The following is a 14,132-nucleotide window of genomic DNA, read 5'->3' as shown; positions in this document are numbered from 1 at the left end:
ATGTGGGAAAAGGACATCTCTTCATTTACTGAGGAAGACACACACGCACAGTGTTCACGCACAATGAAAACATGGCGAGAATGTATTCTACGGAGCTGCATTTGCAGAAAATGCACTGAACAGATTAGAACTCTCTCAAGGCCTCTACACAAGGTAAACCTCCAGTATTGAAGATGATGCAAAGGTGAAATTCACTGCATAGCAAATTGAAAAAGGAAAATGCTGGCAATTTAAAATAGTGAAAAATAACTAAAAACAGAAAAAGAGACTAAACTAAATTAAAAGAAAAATTTGACATTTGAAAAAGTGTCTCACAGGGATAGATTATGGGCATCCATGGGAGATGGGCCGTAAAAGCCTACTGTTCATAATTATTAACTGTTCATAATTTAAAATAGTGAAAAATAACTGAAAACAGAAAAAGAGACTAAATAAAATTAAAAGAAAAATTTGACATTTGAAAAAGTGTCTTACAGGGATAGATCATTGGCAACTATGGGAGATGGGCCGTAAAAGCCTGCTGTTCATAATTATTAACTGTATTTTGAAGTCTTTCATCGAAATCAGTAGCTGCCTTTTTTTCTTTTGGGACATGGTTCTCCTTGGAAAATACAATTCACGTGCATTTTCTGCGTGGTGCTGCTCCACTTGGAATTCCTCTATGAGTTGACACGCGCGGGAGTGCGTATTTCCTATTAAGTTTTTCCGTCTTCTGCGCTGCGCTCCTGTGTAGTTTTAGGCATGCAGAAACCCACTCTGTGTGCACTCATGTGTGGACCACAGATCTGTCAAATAAGCCTGAACAGTCACACTGTTGCCTGAGCGTCTCCCTATCCTACCTCGCACGTGATTATTTTTCAACCAGCCAGGAGCCTCGTGGACTCCTTCAGGCAAAGGCAGATTTAATTCGTTAAAGCTCCTGGAACATCATCAGCTGGAGGGAACGCGACTGCAGGCAATGGCACATTTTAAATCGAAGTTTTCCTTGTCATATCTCGTGGCCAATTTTTCACCTAATGCATTTTTCACCTAATGAATTTTTCACCCGAATTTTTCACTTAATGCATTCGGAATTTTTCACCTGATCCATCTGAATTTTTCACCTAATGCATTGGGATGTATGAAAACGAAATAAATTTTATTGGAAATACCTTGAAATTCACCTGTAGAAACGTTGATCGCACCAAAATTCAAGTCTGTCATTATGGTTTGGAGATTCCATTGGAATTCATAATATTCTGAATAAAGAAGAATAACAAGGTAATAGTCCCTCCTAACGCCATGCAACTATATCCTGTGATTGTGATTTGGGGGGTTTTAGTTGTTCAGGATTTTAGACTTCAGGGATTTTGATCTCTTGGGATTGTCTGTAGGGCTTATGATTCAAGACTGGGCATGTGCTCCATCTGTCCATTCCATCGGGGTGGTTTTACACGAATTTACGGGAGATGGTGAGGACCATGCCACGCCTGTCCCTCCCTGTGAGGCCCGCAGAGGAGCGTCACCCATCGGTGTGGGTGGGGTTCTGCAGGAGAAGGCACGGAAGCCCATGCGCTCAGGGTCACTTTGCCTTCTCCCCTGCGTCATTGAAGAAATGCCCCCAGGAAGCATTAGGTGCTAGGTGCAGTGACACAGCTGTGAGGACCTGAGTTCCTGCGAGGTGTTCCTAATACAGTTTGTTAAGGAAAATCACAGGGAAGGAGACAGCACAGAGCTTATCAAGTAGGGTGGTAATAGGGGCAGTGTTGGTGGCTAAACACCAGAATATGAACCAGCCTGGAGGGTCCAGGGGCAAATTCCTAAAGGACTAGAGAAAGAGAGGCAGAGAGAAGGAGAGAGAGGGAGGGACTAAGAGAGAAGGAGTCAGAGAAAGAGAGAGAGGAGAGAGAGAACAGCGGCAGGACAGGCAGGTCTGTGCTTCCGCTGGGAGGTGTCCTCCAGGAGCCAGAGCCTCTACACAGCTGTGTGTGGATGCCCAGGCAGGGGAGCAGTGAGTGAGGTCAGCAGTGACCTACAGTAGCGGTCCCCGTTTGTCATCTGAAGTTTTTAGGGATGACTTCTCATCATCATGCATGCAGGTGGGGAAAGTTTGTACCAAGCAGGAAACTATTTCCTAGTCTCGGGGTAAAAGTTTGAGATATAAAAAGAATGATATTTATCCTACATATAAGCAGTTCTTTTCCTCCACGTCCCTCCTGATCAGGCTCTGCTGCACAGACCTCTCTGCCGGCCCTTGAATGCCCTTCTCTCTTACTGGGCTTCTCAGAAGATCTCACGCCTCTGTCCTGCCTGAGCAGGTGCATGCCCAGCTTCTGCCCTCTCACTCCAGCACCCACTGGGTTCTGCTGAGTGCAAGTCCAGTGTTATTTGGCAGCAGCCAAAGCCTTTAGTTTGATCCCTGTTTTTGGCCTCATTAAGGAAATAATTTGCCTCACAAGGGAACGTAGTTTAAAAGTCCTAAGGCTGAAATTGCTCCTATCTGGTGAGGATACAATATAAAGAACTGCCTGCATGCCTATGACCAATTGTATATGACTTATTAGTTACCATGAATCCCTCTGTGTTAAAATTCTGGTTTTATCCAGTGGAAGACATTGGTATTCACTTGAATAATGACATCTTCAGTAAAAGACAGCCATGCTAATTTTATGAAATATTATCTACTGGTAGCTTATGCTGGTTTCACAGTTTTTCCCCTCTTCTACTCAAGAACGGGATATGATCAACACCTTGAATGATTTTCTCTTTAACACGGAGTAATTTATCTGCCCCTGTATAAACTGCGTTCCATTTTTCTTGGCATAATGGCTTCCTCTTTTGATGAAATGAGCCTTTTGCATTTATGAAGAATATGTGTAATGTTGGCTGCTGGCTGAGATAACTTAACAACTTTCTGAATTCAAATATTGGTAGAGTGCATGGATAACAGCAACTAGTAATTAAGGGGGTGTTGATTGGTTCAGCCTGGTCTAATCATAGACTGTATAATAAATCATACGGTGTTTTGCAATTAGGAAAATCCATACTAAATAACAAAGTACTGTTATCTTAGTAGCCTTAATAAGTATAGAGTAATGCATTATGGAATAATTGCTACAACAGACTGTACCTGTTTCGAGTCACTCTCCATTCATCACACGCAACAAACCTCTTGTTTTCATGGAAACTGCTGTTCTGGTTAAAAGGCACTGGTGAAATACTCCGCTAATATCCCCCGAATGCTTGTTTCTCCTCCAGGAATTTTCCATATCTTCGAATGCTAGGAGAGCCTTCTCCCTCTATCCCCACCCAGGTGGTGACTAAAGTCTCCATTATTTCAGCAGTACCCACTAGTACCGCAACATTTATAGTGCTTTCAGCATTTCCATTACAGACCTCTAAGAAATGACCAGCTATAAAGCAAAACTGAACCAGCTGGGAACAAAGTTGGCATAAAGAGATTGCAGCCTGAGAGTAGGTATTCTTTTTTATGAAGATTTTTCCATTTAGTTTTAAAATATACAGAAGACTTTTATTTACATTTGCCATCTATTTCACAGAAAAAAAATACAAAAGAGAATTGTATTACTTTTAAAATTCTAGCTTATATTGCTTCTAAAAAAAGACACTGTAAACAACTTTTATCTGGATTCCTGTTTAGTTAATAGAGTCCTTTTTTCTTCCATGACATGCTTCAATTTATAGCTATGAAAAGTTAAAAAGCTATGAACTCTGTTGTTATCATCATTTGACTGAATCGTGTTTTGAAAAGACTACATATCTTACAGCTGCAAGGGATCATGAGATTATTTAATGCAATAGTCATTTGTGAGAGGAAGAAGCTGAGGACACATGGAACTTCCCAAGGTCATAGGCCACGTGAATTACAGAGTTGAGGTTCTAACGCAAGGCTCAGGAGCTAAACCCAGGACACACGGAACTTCCCAAGGTCATAGGCCATGTGAATTTCAGAGTTGAGGTTCTAACGCAAGGCTCAGGAGCTAAACCCAGGACACACGGAACTTCCCAAGGTCATAGGCCATGTGAATTTCAGAGTTGAGGTTCTAACGCAAGGCTCAGGAGCTAAACCCAGGACACACGGAACTTCCCAAGGTCATAGGCCGTGTGAATTTCAGAGTTGAGCTTCTAACGCAAGGCTCAGGAGCTAAACCCAGGACACACGGAAGTTCCCAAGGTCATAGGCCATGTGAATTTCAGAGTTGAGGTTCTAACGCAAGGCTCAGGAGCTAAACCCAGGACACACGGAAGTTCCCAAGGTCATAGGCCATGTGAATTTCAGAGTTGAGCTTCTAACGCAAGGCTCAGGAGCTAAACCCAGGACACACGGAACTTCCCAAGGTCATAGGCCATGTGAATTTCAGAGTTGAGCTTCTAACGCAAGGCTCAGGAGCTAAACCCCCACACCCAGATCTGCATCCAAAGGGCAGCTGTTATCAAGTGTCATCCCCAGTCCCAGGCACCAGGGCCCACGGCTGGGCTGAGATCTCCCAATTCTAATCTCTCGTGACCCTTCACTGCTCTGCACTTGGCGGAGCCTTCACCCTCACTGGGTTGTGATGAGACCTAAAGTCAGACATGTTCTATGGGACTTCCAAAGGCACGTGGCAGCCCCAACGACAGGTCAACCCTGCCATCCCCGTCGCCCTCATTACTAACTAATACTGATGGAGCAGTGCCACTGCTGAGGACCCCTAGAGACACTGTGTGTGCATCGTTTACCCTCATGCCATCAGGAGGGCGCTCGGATTGATGCAAACCGCAGGCCAGAGAAGGAACCTGGGTGACTGTCCAGATGGCAGGTGTTCCTAATACAAGCAGTGAGCCTTGTCTGGGAATCCAGCCTGGGGCTCAACCCCTAGACACACTACACCAACCAAGATGAAAGCAGTTTGCTTTGAAAATTATGCATTTTAAAAATGGTAAAGTGTTTGTTTACATTAAATTATACAATCTTCTTAGTGACCTATGGGCTCCATTTTTTTTTTTTTTTTTGAAAATGTGTTCCTTTTGTGATTCTGATTTGTTACAAATGAAGCCACCTTTGCAAGACGATGACAGTGAGAGATGTCTGGCATGGCCAGCTCCATCTTGATTCTAGCCTCACAGGCTGGCTGTCTTCCCTCATTCCTGGGCATAGGCCAAGCTAACCATGGGAGGAATTTAGTTCATAGTTTATCTGTGAAGCAAGAATGATTATAAGTTCCTCCATAAACTGGTTCCTTCCTTGTTTGGGGCTGAAACTGACTCTGTAAGACTAACGCAAGGGCACAAGATTAGGATTTTGTGACGGGCCTGGATTCTGCTATAATATAAGAATAGTTTCTATAATCTCTCACTGCTCAGGAGCCAAGTGGCCAGAGAGCACAAGATTTGTGACTTCCTCAATTGCTCCTATAGCTAACATGACTATTGTGGAACCTAAGATTGGTCTTTTGAGATGTTTTTCAAACTTTTTTTTCTTTTTTTTAAAATTCTGAGATATATGTGCAGAACATGCAGGTATGTTACATAGGTATACACGTGCCATGGTGGTTTGCTGCACCCATCAACCTGTCACCTGCATTAGTTATTTCTCCTAATGCTCTCTCTCCCCTAGCCCATCACCCCCCCAATAGGTCCTGGTGTGTGATGTTCCCCTCCCTGTGTCCATGTGTTCTCACTGTTCAACTCCCACTTGTGAGTGAGAACATGTGGGGTTTGGTTTTCTGTTCCTATGTTAGTTTGCTGAGAATGATGGTTCCAGATTCATCCATGTCCCTGCAAAAGACATGAACTCATCCTTTTTTATGGCTGCATAGTATTCCATGGTATATATGTGCCACATTTTCTTTATCCAGTCTATCATTGATGGACATTTGGGTTGGTTCCAAACTTTTGCATTCTAGCAACTGACTGAGCCCACCCAGACTTGTGACTGATGACTCAACCAGTCCCCTGGACCCCACCAAGAGGTGGACTCAGAACATGAGGACTGCACTCCACACTCCTGTGATTGCATCCCCAGCCAACCATCAGCACCCATTCCCTGGTCCCCTGCCCACCAAACTATCCTTAAAAGCCCCAACCTTCAAGCCTTTGAGGAGACTGATTTGAGTAATAACTGTCTTCCACGTGGCCAGCCCCACATTAGTTAAACTTTCTTTACTGAAATCCCACGGTCTCAGTGAACTGGTTTTGTCTGTGCAGTGGACAGAGAGAACCCATCAGGTGATGACATGTAGACTCAGCCTTTGACACTGAGGCTGATGGAAGAGCAGGAAGCCCCATATTGTTCATTTAGTCACAACACACATGTGTATTTTTCCAACTACAGCACACAATATAGTAATGGATTTAAGCCCATCTGTTAAAAATGCTGTACAATATAGTGAGTGTAGTTAATAATAATGTATCATATACTTGAAAATCACTGAGAGTAGATTTTCAGTGTTCTCACCACACACAAAAAATAAGTATATGAGGTAATGCAGGTGTTAATTAGATCAAGCTAGCTGTTTTACAATGTATACATATTTCAGAATACTATGTTGCATGCCATAAATATATAGAATTTTTATTTGCCAATTAAAAATAAATTAAAAGAGTATGGAAAGTGAGAAAATGCTATGCCCAAGAGGAATCTAAGGAAATTAGACAACTGAGTATATCAGGATCTCCTGGATGGCTCCTGAAACAGAAAAAGGGCATTGTATAAACACTAAAGAAATGTGAAGAAAGTATGGACTTTAGTCAACAGCAATGTACAATATTGGCTAATCAATTGTGAGAAACGTACTTCACTAATAGAAGATATTAATAATCAGGGAATTGACCGTAGGTTGTAGAGGAACTCTTAGTATTATCACCCCAACTTTTCTATGAATCTAAAACTAAAGTAAAAAGTTTATTAAAAAACAAAAACATTATGCTACATGAAAAAAGCCAATCACAAAAGACCACGTCATATGATTCCATTTCTTTGAAATGTCCATAATAGGGAAATCTAAGAGACACAGAAGAGATTGGTGCTTCCTGAGGACTGGCAGTGGGGCGGGGTGGGGGCGGGGGGGGTGGAGGGGAGGGTGGTGACAGGTAACAGACACGGGCTTTCTTAGATAATGAGAATATTCATGTTCTAAAAGTTAATTGGTGATGGTTGCACATATCTGTGAATATATTAAAAACCATTACATTGTACACTTTCATTGGGCAAATTGTATGGTATGAGAATTATGTATCAATAAAGCCTACTAATTTAAAACATGCTATAAACTAAGAAGTCATAGAGAGCTGTTGAAATTTACAGGGTCAGTAATGAGCCCTTTTCAGACAAGTGCTTCAAAGGGCCAATAAAATAAACACTAAATATCAGTCTTTATTAGATATCAATATTCAAAGACATAAATTTTATTAAAAATATAGTCATTCAGGTCTGTTGAATTAAAATCTGTGTAAATTTAGAAACCTCACAAAAAGCAAATCTATCTTTCTACATATGTATACAGATATATTTTAAAAGTGTAAATGGCTAAATTAAAACACTTTTATTGTGAGGGTTTACAGAAAAAAACAGAAAAATACAGTGCAATTAAAAACATATATTATTTATTAAACTAAAGAATAGACCCTCTGACTGTCAAAAACTTTACTTTTTAATATGAAGCGCTCAGCAATAATTGTATTCACAAAACACAAAGGTTTAACAGCCAGCAGATTCAATCTGTGAATCACGGCTATTGAGCCAACCACTTCTTTTTATTTTTATTTATTTTATTTTTTTTGAGACAGAGTTTTGCTCTCATCACCCAGGCTGGAGTGCAGTGGTGTGATCTCAGCTCACCGCAACCTCCGCCTCCCGGGTTCAAGCAATTCTCCTGCCTCAGCCTCCTGAGTAGATGGGATTACAGGCGCCCGCCACCAAACCTGGCTAATTTTTCTGTATTTTTAGTAGAGACGGGCTTTCACCATGTTGGGCAGGCTGGTCTTGAACTGCTGACCTCAGGTGGTCCACCTACCTTGGCCTCTCAAAGTGCTGGGATTACAGGTGTGAGACACCACACCCAGCCTGAGCCAACCGTTTCTAAAGGCAGGAGATGTGAGAAGGGACAGAGGCTCTATGGGTGATTCCACATGAACAAGCTTCCGGCTTTGCACCTCGGCTAATCCCAAAGCTCGTGTTTCGTGTTTCCCTAACATTCCAGAGGTTTTGTTGGTTTGCATCCTGGCTTTTCCTCTCTCCTCTTAGAGAGGCTTCCTCACCTCCCCGGCCTCTCCAGGCACCCTTGTCTTCGTCCCTTCCTTGGCTCTATTCACTTCCTTTTCCAACCTCCCAAATGTCTGCTTCTCTCTCCTCCAGCCACTTCCCCGACCCTGGCAAGGCTGTGAAGCTACAGGGCATTATTTAGCATATATTGTGTCTATTGGTTAAAATGTGTTCCCCATCCCTGGAGTTTAAAACAGCTGAGTTGAGAGTTTCCTGTTTGTTTCTACAAGCCAGTGGTTCTGAATGTGAGGCCGGGCAGGCATCGCAGGAGAACTTCTGAGAACTGCAAATTCTCAAGGCCCCCGATGCCCCCAGGCCTACGCCTCTGGAAGCTCTGAGATGGGGCCCAGAAGCTGGGCCTTAACGAGCCCTCCCAGTGGTTCCGATGCATGTTCAGGTTTGGGAACCGCGGGTCTAAAAGAAACAAAACCCATTCAAGGACATTTGGGTTCCATTGTTGCCCTGTCTCTCGCTCCCTACTCTCACTGTCTTCTTTGTGAACACTAAAGGAAAAACGGCGCTGCACTGCGAAATGCCTCCTGAGGCGGTGGGGAGAAGGAGGCCAGATTATTCCACTACCTCAAACACAGCGTTCAAACTTGATGTTGCATCAGAATCCCCTGGAGAAATTGTTCAAAAACTCCAATTTGGTGGATCTGAAATGGACCCAGGGTCTGCATTTCTACCAGGCTCTCATGGGACAGGCCCAAGATCTGCATTGTTGCCAAGCTCCCGTGAAAGCTGATGTGACTAATCCAGGAACCACACTGGTGTCAAAGGACACACTGATTTACTCCTTGGTTGATCTGGTTAATTGCCGTAAGGGGAAAGAGTCCCAAATAACACATGGAGGTGCCACTGTAACCATAAATAAGGACTAAGAATAAAGTTCCCAGCAAGCTCATGTTGGATTCATTCCACTGTGCTTATATCTAATAACCAGAAGGGAGAAGACATCAGGCCTGAGAGATCCTTTTCCTCTCCAGCAAGCTGACCACAGCTGCTGTCCCCGCCATTTCCCCAGGCTTCCCTTGCCTCTTCGGATTTAAGGAAAGGGTTGATAAGGCCAACATTCAAATTACCTGTAGTCAATTCCACATTTTTCCCACCTTGCAGCACTTTTAGAACTTTTCGGAAAGTCGCTTCTTACTTGTGTAGCTAGACAGAAAAATAAGCCAGTCCTATCAACTAGGAAGGCTGATTGATCAAGAAGCTTTCCAGATAACATTATTAGTTTGTCACTATTGTGTTAATGAGAATGCAACAATGTAACTCCAAATGACATCTTGTGTGATTCAGTGTTGTTTTCATGGTTGAGTGAGATGATACGTGTAAAGATATTTAATAATGTTCTGGATATGTCTTCCCATATGACTCCTATAACTTACCCTGTATCGTTTCACAATGGTCTTCATTATCTTTGCAGTAGAGATTGATTTGCTTTGTTTCCTGTATTGCTGTGCTGATGTGGCATGTTATTATTTAGTGAACTAATATTTGCAAAATTTGTTTGTTTATGAAAAGAAATCTAGGAAAACTATTTGACTGTCACTTCCAACCTCTGGATAAGATTTGCTATGTCAGATTTATTTCCTGTAATACGATCAGCAATATAACAGTAACTCTTTATAAAAATAACGATTTTTCGGCTGGGCGCTTTGGCTCACGCCTATAATTCCAGCACTTTGGTAGCCTGAGGCAGGTGGATCACCTGAGGTCGGGGTTTGAGAACAGCCTGGCCAACATAGCGAAACCCATCTCTACTAAAAATACAAAAAATTAGTCGGGTGTGGTAGCAGGTGCCTGTAACCCCAGCTACTTGGGAGGCTGAGGCAGGAGAATTGCTTGAACCCGGGAGGTGGAGGTTGCAGTAAGCCAAGGTGGTGCCACTGCACTCCAGCCTGGGTGACAGGGTGAGACTCTGTCTCAAAATAATAATAATAATAATAATAATAATAATAATAATAATCTTTACAAAAATATGTGGTCTACATTGAATTTTTGAAAACAGTTTCACTCCTATTATTTCATCTTCAGGATACCTCCTGAGATAAGTATGTTCCTCTCAATAATAATTATTATTATTATTGGGTACTAGGGAATGAGAGAGGCGATAACAGTAGAACCCAATAATAATAAATATATAATAAATAATATAAATATATAATATATGCATAATATACAATAAATATTATTATTGGGTTTTATTGTCTCCTCCAATAGAACTAATAATAAATTATTATTTATTTATTAAATAAATAATGTACATTTATAATTATCTGTAATACATAATTTATTATAATAATAAATTATGATCAAGAGAATTTGAGATAACATAAATATTTGGTGTGAGAACTAGAACTAAAACCTGCCTTCCTGACTCACTGTTTCTATTCTTTGGTAAGATCATCTTCGTTTCTTTTTCCTCCTGAGACCAGAGACCCACTCAACGCCACTATTCGGAAACTCATATATGGATGACTTGCATTTTTTCTAATTAAGAACGTTAGCAAACTTGGTAGATTCTAACCTTAAATATGTTAAATTTGCTACTCAGAAATGAAATAGCCAATCTACAAATAGAATTAAACAAAAACCAAGTAATTATTTTCCCACTGCTCATTTTCATAAGCATGTATCTTGCTAAATCTTACAATCTGCTTCCTGCTACGCTAGACTCTGTTGAGGACACAAAAATGACCCGGCAGGGTTTCTAACTGGAGATGCTTGTGATCCGGGTGGATGGGATGAGGACAGGAAAGAGGGGACCAAGCTTACCGTCAAGCTGTGAATCTATGTGCGTTAATGAACGTATCTACAAGCTGCCTTATTCATTTAATTAAGAACAAGGTTTACTCTTTTCTCACAGGTTAAAAAGCTTCAAGTTAAATAATATTGCTGATGTGCTATAGGGAGTTGGCATTACAGTTTTATCTCTCTACTCTGGGGTCCATTATACCCTCACACAGTACGCATGGCTCCATTTAATGGTAATGGAAGTCACACTTGGGTATTGGAAAGATAATTTTCCCCTCTAGAATTTGCACAAGACAATCCTTGAGGGAATAATATTTTTTACAGCCCAGTCATTGCCCTACCTGGACCCAACAAGTAACTCTGCACAGTAATTAAATAAGCACAACAGGCAAATTCAAATTTCAAGAGTCTGAGTTTTATGGTTACAGATGTTCTTCCCAACATAGTCTATTCAGCAGTTCCTTGGGTCATAAATGTTTAATTTTTAATCTATTTTTTATCGGTTTTGGGCAATGCAGGCTGCTAGTATACCAAAAGAATTTTCACTAGTACATTTTACATGCAGGAAGTTTGCAGTAATAAAAGTTTTAACAAAATAAAATCAGGTATGTTCCCTTAAGGGAGTGAACATTGCTTTAGCTGAAAACACAGGTCAATGTCCTTGTTCTAGAACAGGGACTCTACCGATCTCACTTACAATATTGTTTGTGAGTGGCAGTCTATTTGCAGACTTAATATCATCCAGGGAATCACACGACTTAACTTGCAGATGTGCTATTGAAAACACATAGAGTTACATCATCTATTTGCACGGCAAATGTCCTTTGAAATGATTCACAGACTCGAAACAATAGCCATTTCAGGATATATTTATCTTTTATGACTCAAACACCTGCCCCACTTTTCAGGGGACCTTGTGGTATAGACAATATGTGCAGATAAAAGGTAAATTGTTGTTAAAATACCACAAAAAGGAACTGACAAAAATCACAGCTGACCTCGCGTGTTTGCATATTTATCGGCAGCTATCAACCTGATTTTTAGTTGCCCGGAACATATATTAATTATTACATTATACTGTGGGCGCAGAAGTGAAATCTTCTGAGTTTGTTTGTTTGTTTTTATAACATACAACACAGCACAGGGCCTGACAATTTACAAAAGATCACTGAACTTCCCATTTACCTTGACATATCCAGAACTTTATCTCAATCCTTCCTTTGGGTAGACCTGCCCAATATACCAAAAGACAGGGTGAGTTAATCAGCACATTTAGGCAAAGGAGACTTACTGAAAGTGAAAGAGGCGGCAGGCTCTTCAGTCAAAAGGGGCACTGGCAAAGGAACTAATGGGTACCGCTGAGACCAAGGCAGAAAGGCCAAGACAGAAAGGAGGCGGGGGCCGAGCTCGTGCTCTCCCGCTACACCTAATTCCGTTGTCCTTCCAGCTCAGAACCTCCCTGAACAGCAAAGACCCTGCCTGGTTGCCTTCTCTCCTGCACTGGGTCTCCCTGTCAATTCCAGGGTTGCCGTTGTTATAACACACAGAATAATCTTACTTCAAACCAACAACACCCCACTTCCCCCAGTGTTCCTAACATCAAAACATCAACTGTCCTTCCAGGACAAATGTGAATGTTCGACTGCACTTTGCCCTTTCCGACACCCAGGTTGCAGCCCCACGGCTCATTTAAGGGAAGGCAAAGCTCCTGTGGCTGTAGGACTCTGAGAAGCTCGCATGCCTCTGGCAAATTAAACACTGTGATCTGTTCTCTGCAGAGTCCTTCCAGGGCTGGCTTTTCCTCCTGCTCAGTGGCTCACAGAGGAGGCTGCTTTTTCAAACCAAGTAGCCTATGGAAATATTAAAGACACTATGAATAATGATGCTTGTTCTTCATTATTGTATTTATTTTAGTTTCTAGCACTTCAGTTAGTTTGTAACTTTAGTTAGTTTACAGCACTTGATCAACTTACAATTCACAAATAACACTTTCACCTCTGGAGGGAGGACTGGAGTTCCAAAGATCTCCACTTGAATTCCGGCGTTCTGTTTGTTGGACAAGGGCATGTTATTTGCTGGGTCTCTGTTTTTCCTTTCTTCTCCCACAGTAAAGTATAGATTCATAAAAGTACCTAGCACATAGACTGGGCACGGTGGTTCACACCTGTAATCCCAGCACTTTGGGAGGCCAAGGTGGGCGGATCACCTGAGGTCAGGGGTTTGAGACCAGCCTGACCAATATGATGAAACCCCGCCTCTACTAAAAATACAAAAATTAGCCGGGCGTGGTGGCATGCGCCTGTAATCCTAGCTACTCAGGAGGCTGAGACAGGAGAATCGCTTAAACCCGGGAAGCGGAGGTTGCAGTAAGCCGTGATTGTGCCATTGCACTCCAGCCTGAGCAACAGGAGCGTAAACACCATCTCAAAAAAAAAAGTACCTAGAACAGAGGTGAATCTCAGGACAAGTGGAATCTGGGGTTTTGTCTACCGCCTCAAGTAAGGAAAAGCAGAGATGCCATCACTTGCTTAAAAAGACCACCCAGCTAATGAAGGTGGGGCTTGGATAGGAGCAAAGGTTCTGCGGAGTGAGCCCTTGTTCAGGAGGACTGCTAGGTCAAAACTACTTGTTTAATGCTAAACAAATCATTGTTTAGGATTATTGTTACAAAATACTATTATAGTCACAACACATGACTCTTCATAGTATTATTCCAAGACTTTCCTGCCTTCACTCTCATTCTCTCTTGAATGTACAGTGGAGTATTCCAGAGGTTATGTGATGTACACTAGTGCAGTGTATTGAATGTGAAAGCAGAGAAGACCCAGCTGTCTTGCATTAAGCCAGACATGAACAATTTGCAAAAATGTAAAATAATGCCATTCTTATCTCTAATTTTGTTGGAGATTATAATGACTTTTCATAAAAATATTTATATTAACATGTAGTTGGGTCATTGTTCTTATTTGTAAATAAAGTAATAAACAAATATCTTAAAATGTTCACAGTTTAAAATTTAAATTTGGCAAATAGAGATAAATGTAAGCACATAGCAATAGCTCTGGAAAGCCACATTTTTTCAGAGCGTAGAGAGATCCCGAGACCACAAAGTTTTCAGTACCGCTGAATCTGA

The 14,132-nt window shown here is 41.6% G+C and overlaps 1 long non-coding RNA gene across 1 annotated transcript in view, besides 1 other annotated feature; it reads right to left on the bottom strand.

Moving 5' to 3' along the window:
- LOC105376360 (uncharacterized) overlaps positions 1-14,132 on the bottom strand; it is a 432,070-nt gene that overhangs the window by 373,105 nt on the left and 44,833 nt on the right. The window lies entirely within an intron of this gene.
- Positions 3,197-4,396: an enhancer, noted in NCBI's record as "BRD4-independent group 4 enhancer chr10:3415456-3416655 (GRCh37/hg19 assembly coordinates)". NCBI's record gives its function as "activates an origin of replication core promoter dependent on BRD2, P300/CBP, MED14 and CDK7 cofactors, and independent of BRD4, by STARR-seq in HCT116 cells {active_cell/tissue: HCT116}" and the evidence as "EXISTENCE:reporter gene assay evidence [ECO:0000049][PMID:35650434]".

This window comes from Homo sapiens, chromosome 10 (genome assembly GCF_000001405.40).
Source record: "Homo sapiens chromosome 10, GRCh38.p14 Primary Assembly".
NCBI lineage: Eukaryota > Metazoa > Chordata > Mammalia > Primates > Hominidae > Homo > Homo sapiens.
The sequence above is the reverse complement of the archived record's forward strand: the minus strand, read 5'-3'. Positions and strand labels throughout refer to the sequence as shown.